Source organism: Homo sapiens, chromosome 9 (genome assembly GCF_000001405.40).
Source record: "Homo sapiens chromosome 9, GRCh38.p14 Primary Assembly".
NCBI classification, from domain to species: domain Eukaryota; kingdom Metazoa; phylum Chordata; class Mammalia; order Primates; family Hominidae; genus Homo; species Homo sapiens.
In genome coordinates, this window is record NC_000009.12 from 37,752,901 (window position 1) to 37,779,567 (window position 26,667).

Sequence of the window (26,667 nt, forward strand, 5' to 3'; positions counted from 1 at the left end):
GGCAACCCGTTGGGGTTGCCTTTCTGGACTGTGGGTGCTTTGTTCTTTGTAATAAATCTTGTTGCTTGCTAACCCTTTGGGTCCCTACTGTCTTTGTGAGCTATAACACTCGCCGTGAAGATCTGTATTTGCAGCTCTTTCTTGAGGCCCGTGTGACCACGAACCCACCGAGAGCGAAGGAACAACTCCAGGTGTGCCCTCTTAAGAGATTTAACACTCATTGCGAAGATCTGCAGCTTCACTCCTGAAGCTAGCGAGACCATGAACCCGCCAGAAGGAAGAAACTCCAGACACGCAGTCTTTAAGAATTGTAACACCGCGATGGTCCGCGGTTTCATTCTTGAAGTCAGTGAGACCAAGAATCCACCATTTCCGGACACAATATGATATCAGGTTGGAATTTGATATTTTAGTTCTACAAAGATTCTGTTGTGTCAGTCCCCGTTGGGCCTAAACTCCGCAAGGGATGGGATATAATATCAGTGCATGTCCAACCGCCCCGCTCCACTCCCGCTTCCTGTAATGGCCATAACTAGTTTTTAAGGTTTCCTTCGGCAGAGAGGGAGGTCCATTCAGTCGGGTGCGGGCCTTAGAATTTTTTTGCTTCACACACCCCAGTTTCGCAATGTCCAGCCCTTGACAACCAACAGAGCACCTGTAGGAGCCCTGTGAAGTTGGTAAAGGGTTGGGGTTGTAATAGCTGTCCAGCAGACGGGGAGACAGGGGTTCAGAGAAGGTGGGCAACCACCACAGCAGGACGCAGCTCCCTACCGCCAGGGCTGGGAGTAGAAGCCGCAGCCTCCGCTCCGGCTCGGCCCCACGAGCACCCTGCAGGTGAAAAACTACAATTTCCAGAATGCCATTCGGAGCGGAGTTACGAAGCGGAAGCGAGGCCGGGGGCGGGGGGGATCCGATGCGCGCCGCTGCCGCTGCGTGGGGGTGAGGGGATCAGGTACGCTGTCCGCTGGTTAAGGGGGCTGGCTGGGGGCTGCGGGGTCTGTCCTGGGACGTCCGCCTCCCTCGCGGGTGGGGCGGACGTTGAGAAAGCAGCGTTTAGCAGTCATGTGGCCTGTGGTACTCCACCTTCCTGATACTTTCCCTTCCTGCTTCCACTCGCACGCTCAGCCTGTGGGCCGGGAGAGACCCGCAGGCGGGGTGCTCTCAGGCTGAATTCGATGTGCCATCACTTAGCGGCAGTGTAGGTACCCATCAGGTGGGAGTTAGGCTAGCAAAGGTCTGAGGCCTCTGCCAACCTAGGGTGGGGGTGCGGAGTGGAGGATTTATGAACTCAGCAAGTATTTATTAAGCATCTATAAGCAAACAACACTTGCCTACATTGAAGGGATGGAGGAGGTTCCGACAACAAGTAAAATAGGTTATGTTGGATAGTAATATGAATGAGGAGAGGAAGGTAGTCTGTGAGTGTCTTAGGGAAGAGCATTGAGGGTAAAGAGAACGGCGAATGTAAAGGCCTTGAAGGGTATGTTTGAGGAACAGCAAATAGACCCCGGAGTGCAGAGGAAACGAGAAAGGTAGACCTTAGTGATCTGCATAGGTCATTGTATGGATTTGGGCTATTTACTGTCAGTGAAATGGAGAGTACTGCAGGGTTCTAAGCAGAAGAGTGGTGATCATCAAATACTTAGGATGCTCACAGGGCTCGGGTACTGAGGGTGTACAGGTGAATTCTTCCAATTCTTCCCTGGGTTTATAATCTAGTGGGGAAACAGGTAGACAGCTGTCATGCAAGGCAGGGTCAGATAATTGGAGCCCCATGAAAGCAGAACGAATGTCATCCCCAAGTCCCCAGGATGTACTATTATGTCAGGTGCTTAGTAGCTTTGTTGAACGAAAGTAATGAATATTCAGCATCGGACCCATAATTGGAGGCTCAGAAAAGATGTTTAATGAAGAAATGAAAAATAAATGAAATCTCACTTCTTGATACTGTTACAATGGCAATTAAGTTTCAACCTGAATGTGAGAAGGGGACAAACATTCAAACCAGAGCAGCACTCAAATTCATAAGATAGGAAATACAAAGGTGCTGCCAGGATTGGGGAAGGGAGAGTTATATAAAGGTCACAGGGTCGGGTGTGGTGGCTCACGCCTGTAATCCTAGCACTTTGGGAGGCCCAGACAGGTGGGTCGCGAGGTCAGGAGATCGAGACCATCCTGGCTAAAATGGTGAAACTCCGTCTCTACTAAAAATACAAAAAAATCTAGCCGGACATGGTGGCGGGTGCCTGTAGTCCCAGCTACTCAGGAAGCTGAGGCAGGAGAATGCGTGAACCTGGGAGGCAAAGCTTGCAGTGAGTCGAGATCGCGCCACTGCACTCCAGCCTGGGCGACAGAGTAAGACTCCGTCTTTTTTTTTTTTTTTTTTTTTAAAGTTAGTTTCACTTTAGGAAGACAAACAAGCTCTGGAGCTGGACAGTGGTGATGGTGGCACACAATGTGGATGCCCTTAGGTGTGTTTTTAACTGCACATTTACAAATGGTTAAAATGGTAGTTCCTATGTCCAAAAAAAAATGCTAAATTTGGGCATAGATAATGTCCCACACAGATTGAGCAGATCTCTGCTTCTGTGATGTCCAACTTCACCTTTGCTTTCTGAGGATCCCTAGGTGGCAATCACCTAATCAGTATTTATTGAGCTTCCATTCTGTGCCAGGCCTTATGCCAGACAACAGAGATACAAAGATACAAAAGAGGTGGGCCCCGCCTTCAGGAGTGTTAGCTTGTTCTATTACTCTTCTGATGGTGGTTGGAGTTGTTTTTATTTGATTTGCAAGGTTATTGCATCCCAAATTCCTGGTTTAAGAAACATTCTCAGGGACTGTAGAGATTTGGAGAAACATGAGGTAAAAGGAGGGGAAAAGAAAGGAAGGGAGTGGGAGTGGTGGCGGTAAACTTCAGTTCAATTAAACAAAAAATAAACACTGCTGTTTTCAAGGTTCTATACTGTGAACTCTTAAGTGTTTAGGTAAATGTAGGTATAAGCCCTCCTACAAAGGAATTCAGTTTGATAGGAGAGAAGATACCAGCACAGACTTTCCAATTTTTGAAAACAACAGTGGAAGTCTGTAGCTCCTAGGATCTCCTATCCTAGATCTCTTTTCCCCTCCTTAGCCAGACTACCTCCAGAGAAATCTCTAGATCCATTGCCTCCCAGTCATTCCCCAACAGGCCCCGGCATACAGTAGGAGCTTGGTGGAATGTTTATTAACTAATGAATGGTCAACACAGGTAAAAATACAAAATGCTATGAAGTTTAAAGGAGGAAGAGATCACATGGCTATTAACTAGCATTTATTTAACAAATGGGTGTTGGTTTTCTCACCCTAATACAATGAAGTTGTCAGTTAAAGATTAGTTTATCTTAATGTTTTCATTTGTTATTTTCTGAATGCCTATATGCAGGAAAATGCAGATGACTCTGATGGTATAAAAGTCTGTTCATTCATCTAAAAGAACTGTCATAATGGGGGTCTAGATATCTTTTGTTTAAAAAAAAAAAAATGGCTGGGTGCGGTGGCTCACTCCTGTAATCCCAGCACTTTGGGAGCCTGAGATGGGTGGATCACTTGGGTCAGGAGTTTGAGACCAGCCTGGCCAACTTGGTGAAACCTGATCTCTACTTAAAATGAAAAAATTAGCGTGGTGTGGTGGTGCGTGCCCGTAGACCCAGCTACTCGGGAGGCTGAGGCATGAGAATCGCTTGAACCTGGGTGGCAGAGGTTGCAATGAGTCATGAGATTGCAATGAGATCATGCCACTGCGCTCCAGCCTGGGTGACAGAGCAAGACTCTCATCTCAAAAAGATATATATATATATATACACACACACACATATATATATACACATATATACATATGTGTATACATACATGTGTATGTGTATATATGTGTGCATATGTGTGTATGCGTGTGTATGTATGTGTGTATATATACACACACACATATACATACACACATATATACATATACAGGTGTGAGGTGGCTCACATCTCTACCCAGTGACTGGGAAGCTGAGGTGGGAGGATGGCCTGAGGCCAGGAGTTCGATACTGGCCTGGGCAACATAGCAAGACCTATCTCTTAACTTTTTTTTTTTTTAATTTGTGATCAACTTCACTGTTCATTCATGTGGAGTGCTTCTGAAATGTTTAAGAATAGCTTGGATTTTTTGTTTTGTTTTTGAAACAGGGTTTGCTGTGTCACCCAGGTTGAAGTGCAATGGCACAATCATAGCCCACTGGAGCCTTGATCTCCTGGGTTCAAGCGATCTTCTGGCTTCAGCTGCCCAAGTAGCTGGGACTACAGGTGTGCATCATCATGCTCATCTAATTCTTTGTGGAGGTGGGGTCTCACTTTGTTCCCCAGGCTGGTCTTGAACCCCCAGGCTCAATTGATCCTCCCTCCTCAGCCTCCCAAAGTGCTGCGATTACAGGCATGAGCTTCTGCGCCCAGCCAGCTTGGTATTTTCCTCATTTCTCTGGAGATACACATTATGAAATTTTATGCATGCCACTAATTCTTTGTGATAGTCTGTATGTAAATACATTTAAAAATGTGTACTGGATTTTAAAGGATTTCTAAGCAGAAATAAACTTTAGCCTAGGCAGACAAATGGACACAAATTTCAAATCTATAATTTTGAAAATCTAGAAGGTAATTTACTTGGTCATCTTCAGGAATATATCTGGTGGTCACATGTTCACATGATAAGTCATGAATAACCAAAACTGCTCAGAAGATTTACCTTCTAATAGCAACTGTAAGAACAACACTGAAGGGGTTTTGAATAGTAGTTAACAGCAAGTATTTCATGAGTACTTGTTTTATATCAGTAAGTGAAAGGTATCTAATTCTTGCAACAATCCTGTGAGGTCGTTTTATCCCATTTCGTGGAGAGACTCTATGGCAGAGACTTAAATCCTCTAGCTATTGTCCCATTACTCACAAGTGGCAAGCTGGGAAGTGTGTCTGAATTCTAAGAATGCTATTTTCCCGCTTAAACCTATTTTAAGTGTGTCTAAACTGAAAACAACTAAAGTTTGGCCCAATTTTGAGCATTTGATGGAGTACAAGAAAAGCAATATGAACTCAACACTAGAAATGTTTTCCAAACACAGGAGTCAAAATGGAAAAGAAAACATAATTCTAGGACACTAGCCATCTCTACAGTGAATAATATTTATGGAGTTATAATATAAATGCAGTTTACAGCTGGTGCAGTGGCTCACACTTGTAATCCCACCACTTTGGGAGGCTGAGGCAGGCGGATTGCTTGAGTCCAGGAATTCCAGACCAGCTTGGATAACATGGTGAAACCCTACCTCTACTAAAAATACAAAAATTAGCTGGGCATGGTGGTGTGCACCTGTAGTCCCAGCTACTCATGAGGCTGGGGTGGGAGAATCACCCGAGCATGGGAGGTCAAGGCTGCAGTGAGCTGTGATTGCACCACTGCACCCCAGCCTGGGCAACAGAGTGAGACCCTGTCTGAAAAAATAATAGTTTACAAATTTGGTTTACAAATTTTAGAAAATACCACGGGGATAGACAAAGCACTTAATTGTTTTGTCAGGGCAAAATGTAAAACCTACCTTGACCATATAAAATTAAAGGCTCAGTTGGAAAATTAAAGGGAGAACAGAGATAGAAATATAAGGGTGTTTATGTTCACAGCCTAAAGATTGGGGAGTCAGAAATACTATAACTTGAACAAGAAGTAGAAGTTTTAAAATATTCTTAAAAGTAATAGACTCCTGGTAATTGTCATGACAGAAGGAATGGGTATTGGACTTACCTTCCTACAATAAACTATAAAACTGGAGAAAGGATATGAAGAAATTGTTTTCAGGTATTGGGCAGTAGTCAGGACAAGACTGTAATCCTTGAGGGAAAAGAAACACACAAGCTAAGCCCCACAGTCACCCTGGCTTTCTACCTGAGGGTGCATAGTGACACGGAGCCCATACAGAGTACGTCTGTGTCACTGGGTGGAGCAAACAGTTGAATTTAGGGCTGCTGAGATTGGATACAGCAGGGAGGGAGTGGTGTAGCAAAGGAGCCCCAGAAATCTGTGTACGGGTCCCCAGATGGTGGTGCTGTGGAACATTTGGAATGCTCATACATTGCTGACAGGCAGTGTAAAATGGTATAATACTTTGGGAAATGGATGGCAGTTTATGAGTTAAATACACACCTATGCTATGACCTAGCAATTCTACCTTAAAACTTAGTCAATGGATGTGAAAACATGTATCCATAAAAACACATCTATGAAAATGTTCATAGCAGATTTATTCCCCAAGCTGGAAAAGATCTCAAATGCCCATCAACAGAATAAATTGTGATATATTCATACAATGGAATGCTACTCAGCAATAAAAAAGCAACTACTGATACATGCAGCAACATGTATAAGTCTCAAATATTTTGAGGGGAAAAAAGTCAAGTGCTAAAGAGTACATACTGTTTGCATCTATTTATATGAAGTTGTATAATAGATACAGCTAATCCATGGTTATAGCAAAGAGAACAGTGGTTGCCTTTGGCAAGTTGTGGGAATGGGATGAAGACTGATTTGGAAAGTGGAGAAGAAAGTTAAACTTTCTGGGGAGTGAGGCTGGGTGTGGTGGCTCACGCCTGTAATCCCAGCACTTTGGGAGGCCAAGGCAGGTGAATCACTTGAGGTCAGGAGTTCGAGACCAGCCTGGTCAACATGGTGAAATTCATTTCTGCTAAAAATACAAAAATTAGCTGGGCATGGTGGTGCGTGCCTGTAGTCCCAGAAACTTAAGAGGCTGAGATGGGAGAATTGCTTGAACTCAGGAGGCGGAGGTTCCAGTGAGCCAAGATTATGCCACTGCATTCCAGCCTAGGCAACAGAGTGAGACTTCATCTCAAAAACAAAAACTTTCTGCGGTGATGGAAACGTTCCATATCTTGACAGGATTGTCAGTAACACAGAACCTATACATTTGTTAAAGCTCATTGAGTTAGTATATTTTACCACATACACAAATTCATTAAACTGTACCCTTAAAATCTTTGCCAAAAAAATGTAAAGATCAAGGTAACTTGATCTCAAATTTCAAAATCAAGATAACTAATGAAGAATTAAAAATAATAGGCCAGGTGCGGTGGTTCACACATGTAATCCCAGCACTTTGGGACGCCGAGGTGGGCGGATCACCTGAGGTCAGGAATTCAAGACCAGCCTGGCTAACATGGTGAAACCCCGTCTCTACTAAAAATAAAATTAGCTAGGCCTGGTGGCTGGCGCCTGTAATCCCACTACTGGGGAGGCTGAAGCAGGAGAATTGTTTGAACCTGGGAGGCAGAGGTTGCAGTGAGCTGAGATTGCAACGCTGCACTCCAGCCTGGGTGACAGTGTGAGACTCCATCTCAAAATAAGTAATTTAAATAGGGGTTGACCCCTATCTCTACAGAAAATTTTAAAATTAGCCAAGCATGGTGATGCATGCCTGTAGTCCTAGCTACATGGGAGGCTGAGGCGGGAGGATTGCTTGAGCAGGTTGAGGCTGTAGTAAACCATGATTGTGCCACCGCACTCGAGCTTGGGTAACAGTGAGACCCTGTCTCAAAAATAGTAATAATACGGACTGATTTAAGCGATTTGAATTCTTATGTTTCATAGGGAGTCAATACATTCAAAGCTGATGAATCATGAAATAATGATGTAAGCATATGATTTCAGTTTAAGGAGTTAATTACCAAAAGAACAAAAAAGAACTGGTTAACAAGGGTTGCCACTAGAGGTGGAAGGGATAGGAGTGTGGATTGTTACTTTTCATTGTAGTTTTTTTTTAACACCATATACATGAATCATACTACATAGACTTAACACTTTTTAAGATATATTTTTCATAAAAGTGGTTGTGTGACTACACCCGGAGGACCAGCCATAGGTAATGGTCACATCATTTGTGTTCTGTGACATTTGACCATTGACTAAAGCATTTCTGACTCATATCGTTCAGATTTTGAACTCCACTTTGAAATTGACATCATTAAGTGTTGTGTAAGAGTGCTTGTCTGTAGTATTCAACCTCAGCACTTCTGAGGGATATTAAACATTTTCAGTGGTGACTGGCTTTCTACTGCAGTGGTATTCAACTGAGTTGGAGGAAATACATAGTTTAAAAAAACTGATACATACCAACAACCTAAAAGAATTCTTGGTTTCATGTCACTCTACTATATACATTGGTACATTCTCCCAAGATGTCTCTAGTACAGTACCTTACTTACAGTAGGTATTCAATAAATATTTGCTAAAGGAACAATTTTGAAAATAAACTGGTTGAAACATAATGGGGGAGGTGAAGTGGCTTTTGCAATCTGTCTTACCCTCAAATCATATCATGCATTTTAAAGTACACAATAAATAACTTGGTTATCTGTGTCACTGCAGCTATGGATAATCATTGATTGCTTGGAGACGTCAGGTGTTGTGCATGTCCTCTAAGAAGTGTATCTGGGGCTGGGTGCAGTGGCTCATGCCTGTAATCCCCGCACTTTGGGGGGCCGAGATGGGTAGATCACTTGAGGTCAGGAGTCCGAGACCAGCCTGGCCAACATGGTGAAACCCATCTCTACTAAAAATAGAAAAATTAGCCGGGCTTGGTGGCAGATGCCTGTAATCCCAGCTACTCAGGAGGCTGAGGCAGAAGAATCACTGGAATTCAGGAGGCAGAGGTTGCAGTGAGCCAAGATCACACCATTGTACTCCAGCCTGAGTAACGAGAGCAAAACCGTCTCAAACAAACAAAACTTCCTTACTACTGAACTGTTTCTCTGCTGAATCATGTATCTGGAAGACACATGCTTTTCTCAGTCCAGTAAATCTGGTTCAGTATTTTACACACTTCTTTCAGTAACACAATAACACTTTGTCATTTGGATGTAGGGAGATACCTATGTTAGTGAAATAATGTAATAGCTCACATAATTGTGCCTTTTTCCAGTCTGGTGGAAAGGACAGAGGACTAAGTCCATGGACTGGAAATTGGAAGGGAGTACTCAGAAAGTAGAGTCACCTGTGCTGCAGGGGCAAGAAGGCATCCTAGAGGAGACAGGTGAAGATGGACTTCCTGAAGGCTTCCAGCTTCTGCAGATCGATGCGGAAGGCGAGTGCCAGGAGGGAGAGATCCTGGCCACAGGCAGTACGGCATGGTGCTCGGTGAGTGCGTGAATTGCCTGGCCATAGGCCTTGAATGATGGAATGTCTCAAGACACCCCTGTTTTAAAGATGGATACTGGTAGTGAAAAGAGAGACGGAATGAGTTTTGTGTATTCTGAGTGATGAATTTTCTGCTAACTGGTTTAAAGTTTTAGTTCCATTTGAGTCATAGGAAAAGTTCAAAAGGAATTTTTGATATACCCCTGAAGGGTCAGGAAATCTAAACTCCAGGCCCTGTCACTAATGAATTTTCTGTGACCTTGACCAGGTCATGTCTCTTTTTCTGGGGCTCTGTTTTCTCTAAACACGATCCAGTCTAGGTTTGTTTTTAAGAGTAATTTCCTCTTTCTCTCCAAACTATATATATAAATAAGAAAAAAGCAAATGTTTCTAATGTTCATTTTCCTTTTTTGGTGCTTATGAAGTTCTCAAACAATTTTGTTTTCTGGATAATATAAGAAAAATGTCCAGAGAAAACAGAGACACTGGGAAAAGATAGTTGCAGCAAAGAAGAGCAAAAGAAAGCAAGAAAAAGAACGAAGAAAAGCCAATCGTGCAGAAAATCCAGGTGACAATAAATGAGACTGTTGGTATAATAATATTTATTTTTTAGCAAACGTGTCTGCATGTTCCAATGAGAGTAGGAATTTTGTATAAGTAAAAAGCATCTGGGATGTGGGACCCACTGCCCTATTTTCTTGGGAATCAAAACATCAAAGAAAGCAAAATTTGTAGCTGGGTGTGGTGGCTCACACCTGTAATCCCAGCACTTTGGGAGGCTGAGGTGGGTGGATTTGCGAGGTCAGGAGATCGAGACCGTCCTGGATAACACGGTGAAACCCCATCTCTACTAAAAATACAAAAAAAAAAAAAAAAAGCCGGGTGTGGTGGCACGCACCTGTAGTCCCAGCTATATTTGGGAGGCTGAGGCAGGAGAATCACAAACCTGGGAGATTAGAGGTTGCAGTGAGCCGAGATTGAGCCACTGCACTCCAGAGCCTGGGTGACAGAGTGAGACTCTGTCTCAAAAAAAAAAAAAAAAAAAAAACAAAAAAAAAAATTTAAGGCTGCTTTTCAAATATAAGCTATCTAACTAACGTGTTTATAAGCTCAGAATAGGAGTGATACCAGCAACAGCTAATATTTATTCAGTATTCTGTGTTAGGTTCAGTTCTAAGAATTTTACATGGATTACCTCAATAAAGAGGAGCTGTTATTATCATTCCCATTTTGTAGGTGAAGAGACTGAGGCTTAGAGAAATTAAGTAACATAATTATGCCCAAGATAATGTAGCCAATCAATGAACAAACTGAACTTGGATTTAAACCCTGCTGTGTGCTGCAGAGCCCATACTCCTCACCACTCTGTGTAAATCTTCTAATGAACGAATACCTTACATCAGTATCAAGTTTCTCTTTATATGCAAAATACCCACCTGGCTAAGATTTGTTTCTTATATAATATTCCTCTGGTTTTCCACTTTTATTTCTTTCTGATATTTCTGCTTTAGGCATTTGCCCCCAGCACAGCAAACGTTTCCTGAGAGCTCTAACCAAAGACAAACTTTTGGAAGCCAAACACTCAGGACCAAGACTATGTATCGATTTGAGTATGACCCACTACATGTCAAAGAAGGTAGAACATCCACTAAGCCTGGAATTCCTGCTCGCCATGAGGGAGGCCCAGAAGGGTACAGCTTTCCGAAGAATATGGTCAACTCCAGCTTCTGGGATTCCTTAGTAAACTAGTAAAGTGTTTGATTTTCTATACTGGGTTACTAAGTTCCAAGGTGGCTGTTGTAACGAACCTGGAAGAGAATATATATAGTTTGGTTTAGTTTGCAAATTTTTACCTTGTCTTCTGTTTTAAGCCCAACATCTTTGCCTCTCTGTTCATGATATCCTCAGTCTGGATGGAACCTTTCAGGTTCAGTTTTCCAGACACTAAACCTTTGGGAAGAGGAATATTTGCCTGGTAGCATGTTGTGGGAAGATTACCTGGTGGAAGAACTTTTTGCAATGTGTGTGTTTTTTGTTGTTGTTTTTTTGAGATGGAGTCTTGCTTTTGTCACCTAGGCTGGAGTACAATGGCAAAATCTCAGCTCACTGCAACCTCTGCTTCCTGGGTTCAAGCAATTCTTCTGCCTCAGCCTTCTGAGCAGCTGGGATTACAGGCGTCTGCCACCACGCCTGACAAATTTTTTTTTTTTTTTTTTTTTTTGGAGACAGAGTCTCACTCTGTTGCCGGGGCTGGAGTGCAGTGGTGCAATCTTGGCTCACTGCAAGCTCCACCTCCTGGGTTGACGCCATTCTTGTGCCTCAGCCTCCCACGTAGCTGGGACTACAGGCTCCTGCCACCATGCCCAGCTAAGGTTTTGTATTTTTAGTAGAGATGGGGTTTCACCATGTTAGCCAGGGTGGTCTCGATCTCCTGACCTTGTGAGCTACTGCGCCTGGCACACCCAGCTAATTTTTTTTCTATTTTTAGTAGAGACGGGATTTTGCGATGTTGGCCAGGCTGGTCTCAAACTCCTGTCCTCAGGTGATCCACCTGCCTCAGCCTCCCAAAGTGCTGCGATTACAGGCGTGAGCTACTGTGCCTGGCCTCAATGTATGTGTTTTAATTGATGCTCATTCACCTCATTGATGAAAGAGGGATTCCCACACTAGAGTTCTGGGAATGGCAGAATGCATGACACCTGACACTGGACAGATGAGATTCACAGCAGTTCATGAGTCTCATATACTTACAGCCCAGGGGAGGAAGATACTGTATACCATACAGGGCCACGTGGGGATTGTAATCAAGAACAGAATGAACAGCAAGGGGCTGTGTGAGGTGGGCTTTGTAGTATCCAGGGGTTGAGGTGCCCCCTGGTTACTATAGGAGGATGTGATTGGCTTGTTAGGAAAATTCCATGGGCTGGCAGGGAACCAAAACTCCTTAGGGATAAAGAGATTATGCCTTGGACCCTTGATGAAAAGTATTTAATTATTTATTATTAAGTTTTAAGGTACATGTGCACAACGTGCAGGTTTGTTACATAGGTATACGTGTGCCATGTTGGTGCTGCACCCATTAACTCGTCATTTAGCATTAGGTATATCTCCTAATGCTGTCCTTCCCCCCGTCCCCCGACCCCACAACAGTCCCTGGTGTGTGATGTTCCCCTTCCCGTGTCCATGTGTTCTCATTGTTCAATTCCCACCTATGAGTGAGAACATACGGTGTTTGGTTTTTTGTCCTTGTGATAGTTTGCTGAGAATGATAGTTTCCAGCTTCATCCATGTCCCTACAAAGGACATGAACTCATCATTTTTTATGGCTGCATACTATTCCATGGTATATATGTGCCACATTTTCTTAATCCAATCTATCGTTGGTTGGTTCCATGTCTTTGCTATTGTGAATAGTGCCGGAATAAACATACGTGTGCATGTGTCTTTATAGAAGCATGATTTATAATCCTTTGGGTATATACCCAGTAATGGGATGGCTGGGTCAAATGGTATTTCTGGTTCTAGATCCCTGAGGAATCGCCACACCGACTTCCACAATGGTTGAACTAGTTTCCAGTCCCACCAACAGTGTAAAAGTGTTCCTATTTCTCCACATCCTCTCCAGCACCTGTTGTTTCCTGACTTTTTAATGATTGCCATTCTAACTGGTGTGAGGTGGTATCTCATTGTGGTTTTGATTTGCATTTCTCTGATGGCTAGTGATGATGAGCATTTTTTCATGTGTTTTTTGGCTGCATAAATGTCGTCTTTTGAGAAGTGTCTGTTCATATCCTTTGCCCACTTTTTGATGGGTTTTTTTTTTTTTGTAAATTTGAGTTCATTGTAGATTCTGGATATTAGCCCTTTGTCAGATGAGTAGATTGCAAAAATTTCCTCCCATTCTGTAGGTTGCCTGTTCACTCTGATGGTGGTTTCTTTTGCTGTGCAGAAGCTCTTTAGTTGAATTAGATCCCATTTGTCAATTTTGGCTTTTGTTGCCGTTGCTTTTGGTGTTTTAGACATGAAGTCCTTGCCCATGCCTATGTCCTGAATGGTATTGCCTAGGTTTTCTTCTAGGGTTTTTATGGTTTTAGGTCTAACATTTAAGTCTTTAATCCATCTTGAATTAATTTTTGTATAAGGTGTAAGGAAGGGATCCAGTTTCAGCTTTCTACATATGGCTAGCCAGTTTTCCCAGCACCATTTATTAAATAGGGTATCCTTTCCCCATTGCTTGTTTTTCTCAGGTTTGTCAAAGATTAGATAGTTGTAGATATATGTGGCATTATTTCTGAGGGCTCTGTTCTGTTCCATTGGTCTATATCTGTTTTGGTACCAGTACCATGCTGTTTTGGTTACTGTAGCCTTGTAGTATAGTTTGAAGTCAGGTAGCATGATGCCTCCAGCTTTGTTCTTTTGGCTTAGGATTGACTTGGCAATGCAGGCTCTTCTTTGGTTCCATATGAACTTTAAAGTAGTTTTTTCCAAGTCTGTGAAGAAAGTCATTGGTAGCCTGATGGGGATGGCATTGAATCTATAAATTACCTTGGGCAGTATGGCCATTTTAATGATATTGATTTTCCTACCCATGAGCATGGAATGTTCTTCCATTTGTTTGTATCCTCTTTTATTTCATTGAGCAGTGGTTTGTAGCTCTCCTTGAAGAGGTCCTTCACATCCCTTGTAAGCTGGGTTCCTAGGTATTTTATTCTCTTTGAAGCAACTGTGAATCAGAGTTCACTCATGATTTGGCTGTTTGTCTGTTATTGGTGTATAAGAATGCTTGTGATTTTTGCACATTGATTTTGTATAAAAAGGATTTTTAAAGCTAGGAGACCTTATCTACGGGAGCAGAGTTGGGAGGGGAGCTTACTATTAGGCTATTTGAAGTATTCCCAGTTTTGACAGATGTCAAGGCAGTGCATAATACTGGGCCTTAATTTTAGGCCTTACATCACAGTATGTAAATTGTAAACTCTCTTTTTAGACATCTGTTTTATGTGCTAGTGTTTGCATATTTTTCAGATAAGTTAGGAAAACTGCAGATCTGAGGTTCCTACCTGAAACTTCTAACTCTAGTCCTCTGAAAATGTTAACCAAGAATTCCCTACTATTAGGCTGGGCACAGTGGCTCCTGCATATAATCCCAGCATCTTGGGAGGCCGAGGCAAGAGGATCACTTGAGGCCAGGAGTTCAAGACTAGCCTAGGCAATATAGGAAGACCCTGCCTCTAAAAAATTAAAAATTAGCCAGGTATGGTGGCCTGTACCTGTAGTCCCAGCTACTCAGGAGGCTGAGGTAGGAGGATCACTTGAGCCCAGGAATTTGAGGCTGTAGTGAGCTATGATTGTACCACTGCACTCCAGCCTGGGTAACACAGCCAGACCCTGTCTCCAAAAAAAAAAAAAAAAAAAAAATCCATATTGTTAAATTAAGATAGCAGATTAAATCAAACCCAGAGTCTTTTTCTCCTACCCAACAAATCAAGCCAAATTGTGAAATTGCTTTTATATAAGAGCATTGTCTGTGATTCAGGGTAAAAAGTTAAAACTTCCAACCCTATTGCATCTCCTGAAGTTAGGAAGAAGGTACCAAATTTATATGATGTTCTGTAAAAACATTTATGTATATTAATGAAACCTCTTTAATAACTTAAATAGTATTACATAAGATTTTAGATAAAAGCTAAAATAAGAATTTCATATATTAAACATTTAACAGCAGGGCCAGCAGGAGGGCGAATTCCGTTTTCCACTACCTCACTGTTTCTGGACTTGTATCATTATCTTTTGTCTGTAAGGTGTGATGCCATAAGGTATAATACACGCACACATGTACTCCTAGTACATGGGGTTTTCTGGAGTAGCGTTCAGTGAACTTATTGTAGCCATTTCTTGATAGCTAATTTAGAGTGAGTTGGCATGTTTTTGCCCTGAGTTGTTCTTATTTCTTTGAAGGAATTAAGTAGACTGGCTGGACAGATTCGAAGGTTGTATGGTTCAAACAAAAAAGCTGACAGGCCATTTTGGATCTGCCTCACTGGATTCACAACAGACAGTCCCCTTTATGAAGAGTGTGTGAGGATGAATGATGGATTTTCTAGTTACCTGGTAAGTCTCTTTTTGCATATTATTTGAATTGTCATCTGAAAAGTTATTGTGGTTAATAGTATTTTTTTTTTACTTTTTCATATATGTTACATTTTCAGTATTGAAGTCTAAAAAAATTCAGAACCTCTCATAAGTTCTTAAATTTAAAATTTTTTCTCATCCTCCTACTGCATTGGCAAAGTACTGTTACCAGTGTCTAGGACTGTATTTTGTATCCCGTATATTTATGCTAGACTGTATACTCCAGGAATATTTTTGGGAAATGCCATGACTCCTTTCTTGTTCTCATTAATGGTGAATTGGGAAACATGAGTTTTGGGGGAAGAGAAGGAATCCCTTTATGAAGTAATGCAAATTTAAGATAAGTTTTAGGGAGTACTAAGGTACTTTTCACCTCTCTCTAGGATCTCATACATTTAGTGATACATATACATGCAAGAATCCAAATGAGTTTCTCAAATGTCACTGAAAATGCCCAGTGTGTTTGCATTGTGTAGCTGAGACTGAGCAGTTGTGACCTTCCCCAGGAAGGTCCATGGAAGTGATGAATGTGAAGGGTGCATTGCGCGGGGCTGCACAGCCAGCTGTTTTGCTGTTACTGTCTTCACAGTCTCTCTTGTAGTGCAGCTAGTTCCAGTTTTCTTCTATGTAGTTGTTTTAATGATTCTTTTACATAAGCCAAACAGTCCTTTTTACAGGTCCACATAGTTCCCTTACTTTCCTGTCTTCGTGCCTTTCTTAGTCCCTCAGCTTTGAGTTCTTCTCCTTTTGTGTATGTCAATATTAATCTATTTTGAGGCTGGGCACGGTGGCTTATTCCTGTAATCCTTGCACTTTGGGAGGCCGAGGCAGGTGGATTGTTTGAGCTCAGGAGCTCGAGACTAGCCTTGGCAATATGGTGAAACCCCGTCCCTACTAAAAATACGAACATTAGCTCGGTGCAGTGGTGCGCGCCTGTAGTCCCAGCTACTCAGGAGGCTGAGGCAGGAGGATCACTTGAGCTTGAGAGGCAGAGGTTGCCGTGAGCTTAGATTATGCCACGGCACTCCAGCCTGGGTGACAGAGCCAGACCCTGTCTTTAAAAAAAAAAAAAAAAAAAAAAAAAAAAAAAAATCTCCTTTCAGAAACCCAGTTCCAGCATTTCCTTCCCCAGGTCATCCCAATGTTACTCCCTCATCTGTAGTCCTGGAGCATGCTCCCCGTACCTCTGTCAGAACCCCATATCGCTGTCTCATTTCATAGGTTTGAACGTCTGTGTCTACTTTCCCTCCTAACTAGGTACTTTCTGAGAAGCTGTCAAGCTGTCACATGTGCAGTTCCTTGATAAACCTAGAGCCATGCCTGATAGAAACTTGAAGCCCAGTAACTAGTCGTTGAATTTTGAGCGGGGTTTTTTTTTTTTTTTTAAAGACAGGCTGAAGTGCAGTGGCATGATCTTGGCTCTCTGCAACCTCTGCCTCCTGGGCTCAAGCCATCCTGCCACCTCACTCCTAAGTATTATAGCTGGGACTACAGGCACATGCCACCATGCCTGGCTAATTTTTTTGTATTTTTAGTAGAGACTGGGTTTCACCATGTTGCCCAGTCTGGTCTCGAACTTTGGAGCTCAAGTGATCCTTCCACCTTAGCCTCCCAAAGTTCTGGGATTACAGACGTGAGCCACCCCACCCAGCCGTGAGCTGTTTTAACATCAGACTGTTTGCATTTTCCAGTTAGACATAACAGAAGAAGACTGCTTTAGTTTATTTCCCTTGGAAACCCTTGTGTACCTGACTCCTGACTCAGAACACGGTATGTAGTTGAATGCATGGATTCGTATAGCCCATTGTTCCTGTGTTTCATTATTCCCTGTGGCAGAATTTATTAAAGCCCCTCAAGAAGGACACCCCTCCCCACCCCCACAAAAAGTAATGCACATGAGCAGTGCTCCTCTTACAGGCAGGGGCCTCACTGGATGCTTCGATGTGTCTTACCATGGCTCACAGCTGCAGACTTAGGGTTTCCATCCTTATCTGGGCCTTGTGTAGTGCCTGCCAGTCTTTCCCAGTGTCCTTGGTCTGCTACCCCACTAGCCCTTCTTGGATCAATGTTAGATCTATTTTTTCCTAGAAAATCATTCATTTCACATAATTTTAAAATGTATTGGTATTCAGTTGATCATAGTATTCTCATCTAATTATTTCACATTCTTCTGCAGTTTTGTTTCCTTTCTGAATCTAATGTTGATTTGGGTCTGCTACCCTTTTTCGTGATTAGCTATGCCAACAGTTTGTCTGTTTTATTGGCCATTTTAGAAAATTAGCTTTTGGTTTTATTGAGCAAGTTTCTTTTTGTTTTCTACTGAATTTCTACTTTTATTGTTAATAATTCTTTCATTTTGCTTTCTCTGGATTTAGAAATTATAAAACAGATTTGATCTCATTGGCCTTCATTTTTTCATTAGCTCTTGAAGATGTTGATCTAAACAAAGTTTACATCCTCGGTGGGCTTGTGGATGAAAGCATTCAGAAGGTAAGTATACATTTCAGCCCCAACATCTGTTTTAAAAAGCAGTGCTTACTTTTAGAGGCATGTGCCCTGTTATAGTCTCCTCTAGAGGGTCTAAGAACTCAGAGGGAACAGGAAGAAAGAGCCATCCCCACCAGGTTGGCCCTCTGGCTGGTGAAGTTCCCTCTCTCCTCATGAGCAATGTCAGCGAAATCAAGAGTCGGGAACTGGACTGGGCACTGTTTGGTAATTACATAGCCATTGTTGAGTTTCTCTCTTCAGTTCTGCAAGGATAACTCTGATATTGACCAAGTAAGCATCAACTCAACATTCTTACTAGCTGTTCTTTGAGGGAGTAGTTTGCTCCTTCTAAGGTTGATCTCTCTGCTGAAATAGTCTTAGCCCAAAACCTCAAACTCCTAGGATTATCCAGATTTTTTTTGTTGGAGTTTTAGAGGAATAATTGGGGTGTCACTGGAATTTTGAAATGTTTGTTATATAGCTGTTTAAGATAATTGTTTATATTTACTAACATATTACATAGATAATAAGTTTAATAAAAGTTAAAGACTAACATATAAATATAAAAGAGTAGAATGAAAGTCTTTCCTACCTTTGTCTCCCAATTCCCCTCCCCTGAGGCAACCGATGTCAAGTTTTCTTGTGTATCCTTCTTTGAGACATTATATGATCACAAAGTATGTGTTTGTGGGTATATTTTACATATAGGTAGAGGTAGATGTGTTCTATCTATGTTCCTGTATGTATGAGATGTATGTATATTTAACACAGATGATAGGTTAATTTAATTGAATTTATTTAAAAAATATTAGTGTTCCATGACTCCATAGTGATCATCTAAAATACGAGCAGGGGCTACTTACAGAAGAATGCAGCTAATAAGGAATGCATAATAGAATTAGAAAATCATCATTTTGTCACTCCTAATACAATTGTTGACTCAGTTGAAAGAAAGGTTGTGGAGGAACCGGCTATTTACATGGTCTCAAAGTATCACCCTACAGATAACAAAGGCAAAGATTTAACATTACAGTAAAGCATTCTGGTGGTCACCATCTTATCCAAACTTGATCAAACTTAGTATCACCCATACAGGTACAATCTCTGCCTCCTGAGGTGTAGTATTCTTGACAGAAAATGTTTTTTTTTTTTCTTTTGAAGCAGGGCCTTGCTCTGTTGCTGCAACCTCGATCTCCTGGGCTCAAGCAATCCTCCCACCACCTCAGCCTTCTGAGTAGCTAGGACTACAGGCCCATGCCACCACACCTAGCTAGTTTTTAATTTAATTTTTTTGAGACATGGTCTCACTCTGTTGCCCAGGCTGGAGTGCAGTGGTGCGATCATGGCTCACTGCAGCCGCAATCTCATGGGCTCATTTGAACCGCCCGCCTCAGCCTCCTGGGTAGCTGAGACTACAAGTGTGTGCCACCATGCACAGCTAATTTTTATATTTTTTTGTAGAGACAGGTTCTCACCATGTTTTCCAGGCTGGTCTTGAACTCCTGGACTCAAGCAATCTACTCACCTCAGCCTCCCAAAGTGCTGGGATTACAGGCATTGAGTCACTGTGCCTGGCCTAGTTCTTAAATTTTTTTTTTAGAGACAGGGTCTCACTTTGTTGCCCAGACTAGTCTCAAACTTCTGGACTCGAGCAATCCTCCTGCCTCAGCCTCCCAAATTGCTGGGATTACGGGTGTGAGCCACCGTGCCCAGCCTCGTGTTTAAAATTTTTTGTAGAGACAGGGTCTCACTGTGTCCAGCCTTGAATTCTTGGACTCAAGCAATCCTCCTACCTCAGCATCCCAGAGTGCTGGGATTATAGGCATGAGTCCTCATCTGGCCCAGAAAATGTTTAAGCTGAATTTAATTGTGAGGAAACAGACAAATCAGAATGTGGGACATTCTGCAAAACAACTGGACTGGACTTAACCGAGGCAGGAGGCTGTTACAGATTAAAAGAGGTTCGTCCAGGCACAGTGGCTCATGTCTGTAATCCCAGCACTTAGGGAGGCCCAAGGCAGGAGGATCACTTGAGGCCAGGAGTTTGAGACCAGCCTGGGCAACACATTGAGAACCTATCTCTACAAAACAATTTGGAAAAGAAGAAAAGGTTAAAAAACCGTAATAGCCAAATGCAGTATGTGAGCCTTGTTTGAATTCTGTATTGAGAGGAAAGCTTTATAAAAAACAGTTTGGGGAAAGTTTAGGAAATTTTAATGTAGATTGTGTATTAAGTGAAATTACAGATTTAAAAGTTTTCTTTGAAGTGAAAATGGTATTGTGGTAAGGTAGAATGTCATTGTTCTTAGATGCATGCTTAAGTATTTAGTGAAGAAGTATTGTGATGTCTGTAGCTTACTTTGAAATGGTTTGGCAAATTATTTTTTATTGAGACAAGGTCTTGTTCTGTCATCCAGGCTGAGTGAGGTGGTGCGATCATAGCTCGCTGCAACCTTGAACTTCTGGTCTCAAGCAATCCTTGCGCCTCAGCCTCCTGAGTACGTAGGACTATAGGCACATGCTACCATGGCCAGCTAATTTTTTTTTTTTTTTTCTGTATTTTTGTTAGAGACGAAGTCTCTTGATGTTGCTCAGGCTGGTCTTGAACTCCAGGCCTCAAGCAATCCTTCTGCCTCAGCCTCCCAAAACACTGGGATTACAGGCATGAACCACCCTGTCCAGCCCAAAATATGTATTTATATACAGAGAGAAAAAGCAACATATTAACAACTGGTGAGTCTAGATTACAGGAATGAATATTGATTGTATTATTTTGAACTTTTCTTAGGTTTGAAATACTTCAAAGTAAAAAGTTAGGGTCGGGCGTGGTGGCTCACGCCTATAATCCCAGCCCTTTGGGAGGCCAAGTCAGGCAAATCACAAGGTCAAGAGATCGATACCATCCTGGCCAACATGTGAAAACCCTGTCTCTACTAAAAACATAAAAATTAGCTGAGTGTGGTGGCATGTGCCTGTAGTCCCAGCTACTCGGGAGGCTGAGGCAGGAGAATCTCTTGAACCAGGGAGGCGGAGGTTGCAGTGAGCCGAAATCACACCACTGTAGTCCAGCCTGGTGACAGAGCGAGACTCTGTTTCATACACACACAAAGTCTGGAGGGCTGGAGGACTACTTGAACCCAAGAGTTAGAGGCTGCAGAGAACTGTGGTCACACCACTGCACTTCAGCCTGGGTGATGCAACACAGTGAGACCCTGTCTCTAAAAAAAAAAAAAAAAAACAACAATAATAATAATTAAAAGTTTATTAGTCTTACCTGCAGCAGGGTGACAGCGCCCCCACCCCGTCCAAGACAGGGCCTTGCTCTGCTGCCCAGGCTGGAGGGCAGTGGCACAATCAGCTTACTCCAGGCTCAATTGATCCCCCTACCTCAGCTTCCCAAGTAGCTGGGACCACAGGTGGGCGCTACCATGCCCAGCTAATTTTTTGTTGAGTTGGGGTTTCACCGTATGGCCCATGCTGGTGTCGAACTGCTGGGCTGAAGTTACCCACCTGCCTCACCCTCCCAAAGTGCTGAGATTGCAGGCATGAGCCACGGTGCCTGGCCAACAGTCCCTTTTTTGAGGCAGTTAAGTTCAGAGGGTCAGTGAGCAGTGCATGACTTACAGATGTGCAGTTTTAACATATTATCTGTCCACCAACATTTAAACTGAAAAATAACTGGAAGATTTGTGAGATGTTTAGAACTTTTTGGTTGTTATTGGAGTTTGGCTTCTTCACAGAAATAAGCTAAGAACAACATTTCTTCAAGGAGAGTCATTTTATTATGAATCATTGTGCAAAGAACATAAACTAAATTGTAAGCTCTTCTAGGGCAACACCCAAATATCCTAATTTTGAATTCTGTACTTCAAAGTGATTATAAAGGAATAAGACTTTTTATAAAACAAACGTATCATATAGCTCATATATGCAAAGGAGTTTTATCCTTTCAAATAAGTCCCTGTATCGCTTAAAACATTTTTGGAAGTTCTATCTAAAATTTTGTTTCATGTGAGGCAGGTGTCAGCACCGAAAAGGTACTAGGTCCACTTCACACTATTCCACCTGGTTAGACCATACTCATGATGGCCAGTCAGTTATGGGACCGTAAACAAAATGATACTGGACTAGCTTAGAACAAGTTCAACTTGTCCTGAATGATGAAGGGACTTGAAATTCAAAGAAGAGTTGACAGAACTGAGGCTACAATCTGGAGACTAGAGGATTCCTAGGGGCATGATCACTGCCTTCAAGTTTCTGAATGGCCATCTTTTGGAAGGGCCATCTTACTTGCATGGTTTGGCCTTGGGGGAATAGACCTAGGATGAATGAGTGGAAGTCTCAAAGAAAACAGAATTTTGCTCAAGATCAAGAAGAATTTCCTATCAGCTGGTACTATCAAAACTGGAGTGGGTTGTCCCAGGATGCATGAACTCCCTGTCACAAGAGCTGTCCATTGAGTGGCCACATGGCCTCTTGGAGAAGTCATAGAGAACAGACAATGAATGGGTGGTTAGAGTGATACAGTTAACACTATTGAGACCCCTTCCAAGCCTTGGCATGTTAATTATCCCAGTAATCTGAACCTTTCTCTTTAATCCTGAAGTCTTAGGTAGAAAATCTTTCCTGTGCTTCTTACAAGGCAGCAAATGTAATCTGACTGAGTCATGACTCAGTCTGAGGGACTTCATGACTAAGGAACATCTTATAAAGGGACATCAGTTTCTGTACTCTGACACTAAATGGCCTCAAGTTGATGGACTTCTTGTGACTCCTTTTTGCAGTTTTCAGAGCCCGCCCTTTTATATTTTTGAGACAGGGTCTCCTCTGTCACCCAGGCTGGAGTGCAGTGGTGCAGTCACAGCTCATTGCAGCCTTGATATATGTCCCAGGCTCAAGTGATCATCCAACTTCAGCCTCCAGAGTAGCTGGGACTACAGGCACACACCAGCACACCCTGTTAATTTTTTTTTTGTTATTTGTAGAGACAGGATCTCCCTATGTTGCTCAGGCTGGTCTTGAACTCCTGGGCTCAAGCAGTCCTCTGGCCTTGGCCTCAAAGTGTTGTGTGAGGCACTTCACCTGGCCCCTTTCTTTTAATTGGGCTCTCTCTTCTCACACCCTAATGCCACTTGTTGCAGTGGTGCACCTGTCTTGAATCTTGTCTACCTTTTCCTCTAATTTGATGCTGCCTTTTGGCAATGAGCTGGAAGTTCCAGATATCCAGAATTGGGTCTTACTGAGTTAGGGCTCAGAATGTGCTCTGATTGATTAGACTGCTTGGGCCTTTTGATGCCTACTGTGGCTGCAGATGTGCCTCTTTTGCTTATTTCCCTCTTGGTTCTAAGTGGCAGTGAGTGGAGGACTGTGGATGAGTGACCCCCCAAAAAGTAAGATATTGTCACATAAGCTCTTGAGACAGTTAACTCATTATCTGCAGTTTCTTCCATTCCACAATAGGCTACTTATTTTTAATGCTGTATTACATTGAGAATATACTCATGTATAATTTTTATAAGAAAAATATTTAACTATATATTTACAGAAGGTGACATTTCAAAAGGCCCGGGAATACTCTGTCAAGACCGCACGCTTGCCAATCCAGGAATACATGGTCAGAAACCAGAATGGGAAAAACTATCATTCAGAGATACTGGCCATCAATCAAGGTACTTCTTACACGGCCCCCATCCAGGGTGTGTGAGTTCTGGTGCTGCTGCTTTGCACTGTGTTTAAGTGGCCTTTGAGTCAGTCTCCTCTGTGACTAATGTGTGTGGACTTTATTGCATGTACGTCATGACATATATTCTGGCCACTAAGAGGCATTCTGTTTTCTTCGTCACCAACTATGTTAAAGATAGTTGAAATTGTCCCCTTGGCCAGGTGCAGTGGCTCACACCTGTAATCCTGTAATCCACTTTCAGAGGCCGAGGTGGGTGGATCACCTGAGGTTAGGAGTTCGAAACCAGCCTGGCCAACATGGTGAAACCCCATCTCTACTAAAATACAAAAATCAGTCAGGCGTGGTGGTGCACGCCTGTAATACCAATTATTCCAGAGGCTGAGGCATGAGAACCACTTGAACCTGGGAAGTGGAGGTTGCAGTGAGCCGAGATCACACCACTGCACTCCAGCCTGGGTGACAGTGATACTCTGTCTCAAAAACAAAAAAAAAAGCTGGGCACGGTGGCTCACACCTGTAATCCCAGCACTTTGGGAGGCTGAGGTGGGCAGATCACCTGAGGTCGGGAGGTCGAGACCAGCCTGACCAACATGGAGAAACACCGTCTCTACTAAAAATACAAAAATTAGCAGGGCATAGTGGCAGGCGCCTGTAATCCCAGCTAATCTGGAGGCTGAGGCAAGAGAATTGCTTGAATCTGGGAGGTGCAGGTTGCGGTGAGCTGAGATCGTGCCATTGCACTCCAGCCTGAGCAACAAGAGTGCAACTCCGCCTCAAAAAAAAAAAAAAAAAAAAAAAAAAAAAAAAAAAAAATTGTCCCCTTCATCTAGAATGCCCAGCTTTTAACCTCTCACCACTGAATTCCTGTTTGATCTTCAGGGTTCAGTTCAGGAGCATCTTGGCCCTTCCCCATCCCAGGCCACAGCAGAGCCCTTCTGTTTCCCATTTTACTGTGTTCCTTTCTGTTGCACCCTATCCATTCATAGGCCTGTATCTTTCAGGGTAGGCTGAGGTCCTTGAGAGCAAGCAGAGCCTGTGTCCTTGCCTCTCCCCGCAAGACCTTAGTACCACATATGGTGCAGAATAGGTTTGTTGAACGAAATATTACAGAACATCCTTTTCATTTACTCGTTCTTTTTTTCCCTCTGTGGTCACTGTGTTTTCTGTTTACTCTCTAACAGTGTTTGATATCCTGTCCACTTACTTAGAGACTCACAACTGGCCTGAAGCATTGAAGAAAGGAGTTTCTTCAGGAAAAGGCTATATTCTTCGGAACTCAGTGGAATGATGGGCCTAAGATTGCAGCTGCGTGGCCAGGTGCTCACGCCGTAATGCCAACACTTTGGTAGACCGAAGTGGGCAGATCACCTGAGGTCAGGAGTTCACGACCAGCCTGGCCAACATGGTGAAACCCTTCTCTACTGAAAATACAAAAATTAGCCAGGTGTGGTGGCGCATACCTGTAGTCCCAGCTACTTGGGAGGCTGAGGCAGGAGAATCACTTGAACTCGGGAGGCGAAGGTTGCAGTGAGCCGAGATTTCACCAGTGCACTCCAGCCTGGGTGACAGAGCAAGACTCCATCTCAAAAAAAAAATAAATAAAAAAAAATGCAGCTGCAGGAGTGAGGCGCTTGGAGGTACCTTGACCCAAAGAGCAGGGCAGAGGGTGGCAGTGGCACATAGGCAAGTGTCTTTGCATGACATCTTCTCAGAGCTTCACAATAATGTCAGGGACCACATTTAATGCTTTTTAATCTCCCATAGTGCCTGGCTCACAGGAAGTGCTCAGATATGTTAAGTAATAAAAAGTTAATGTGGTGGGTGCAGTGGCTCACGCCTGTAATCCCAGCACTTTGGGAGGCTGAGGTGAGTGGATTACAAGGTCAGGAGTTCCAGACCAGCCTGGCTAATATGGTGAAACCTCGTCTCTACTAAAAATACAAAAATTAGCTGGGCATGGTGGTGCGTGCCTGTAGTCTCAGCTACTCAGGAGGCTGAGGCAGGAGAATCGCCTGAACCCGGGCGGCGGAGGTTGTAGTGAGCCAAGATCCAGCCTGGGCGACAGAGCCAGACTCTTGTCTCGAGGGGAAAAAAAAAAAAAATTATGTAACAAGGAATTAGCCTCAAAACCACATGGCTTTGGACGTGCTAATTCAACTTTTGTACATCTATTTGTGAGAGACCTCTTGAAATTGTTTAAATGGTTACATCAAGAGTTTAATATTCACTAAACTGGCATCATAAAATTGTATGACTTTCTCCAGCCTTGTCTGATCATGCTCGTTGTTGCCCAGCTCAGTAATAAGCTTTGCAGGATCCAGCCTGTTCTGACCTATCCCTACTGAGTCCCCATAGCATTTTGTTCCCTCCTGTGGCTCTTACCTTGTTCTCCCTTGCAGAGTATGGGCATGGAGGGCTTCTCTTCCTAATCCTTCCTAATGGTAGGATCCTAACAGGACAAATCTGTGTACCTATCTTTCTATCCTCCCTGAGCCTGTACCAACTAGATTCTTCATATGTATTTGTAACAGATTAAATTGGAAAGCAAACACAGTATTGATTAAGTCTGTCTTGAAAATAGCTAGAAAGTGTTAGACACATGAACACGTTAGATAACCTACTTATTACACAAATCTCATGTTCCTTATGTCCCAGTTGGACATATTTGCTTCAGTTACTCTGACAGTTTGGGTTAACTTGCTAGTTAAGCAGCTAGCAAATTTGGGACATGTATTCAATATCTCAAAAGAACCAACAGATTACTTCTCTGCTGTGTCCCCTCCCCTTCACAATTTAATTCCTAAGGAACTGTTCACCTAATCAGTACTTTTCTATTTAAAAACTGGCTAGACAGTTCATAATAAAAGATATGGGACCAACCTAAGTACCCATCAACCAATGAATGGATAAAGTGTGGTATATATATCCCATGGAATATTAGCCATAAAAAATGTCTTTTGCAGCAACTTGGATAGTATTGGAAGCTATTATTCTTAGTGAAGTAACTCAGGAATGGAAAACCAAATACCAAATGTTCCCACTTTAAGTGGGAGCTAAGCTACAGGTAAGCACACAGAGTGGTATAACAGATACTGGAGACCCGGAACAGGGAAGGGGGAAGGATAAACTACATACTGGGTACAATATA

At 42.8% G+C, this 26,667-nt stretch overlaps 1 protein-coding gene across 18 annotated transcripts, besides 1 other annotated feature; it reads left to right on the forward strand.

The window, feature by feature from the left end:
* Positions 1 to 26,072, forward strand: TRMT10B (tRNA methyltransferase 10B). 18 transcript variants are annotated; one of them, XM_011517735.4, is made up of 9 exons: positions 1 to 393; positions 9,003 to 9,217; positions 9,677 to 9,785; positions 10,729 to 10,853; positions 15,176 to 15,328; positions 17,041 to 17,119; positions 17,772 to 17,839; positions 23,382 to 23,505; positions 24,701 to 26,072. In XM_011517735.4, exons 1-9 carry the CDS (start codon positions 384 to 386, stop codon positions 24,805 to 24,807), a joined length of 990 nt encoding a protein of 329 aa, XP_011516037.1. In that variant the 5' UTR covers positions 1 to 383; the 3' UTR covers positions 24,808 to 26,072. The 18 variants fall into 18 exon arrangements, 16 of the variants coding, with proteins under 16 accessions (XP_011516037.1, XP_011516038.1, XP_047278789.1 ...); XM_011517736.4 differs by having other exon boundaries at positions 24,728 to 26,072; XM_047422833.1 differs by having other exon boundaries at positions 24,521 to 24,800.
* Positions 815 to 1,049: a silencer, noted in NCBI's record as "fragment chr9:37753712-37753946 (GRCh37/hg19 assembly coordinates)". NCBI's record gives its function as "represses an EF-1alpha promoter that drives an FKBP-Casp9 reporter gene in an ReSE screen in phorbol 12-myristate 13-acetate-treated (for megakaryocytic differentiation) K562 erythroleukemia cells {active_cell/tissue: K562(+PMA)}" and the evidence as "EXISTENCE:reporter gene assay evidence [ECO:0000049][PMID:32094911]".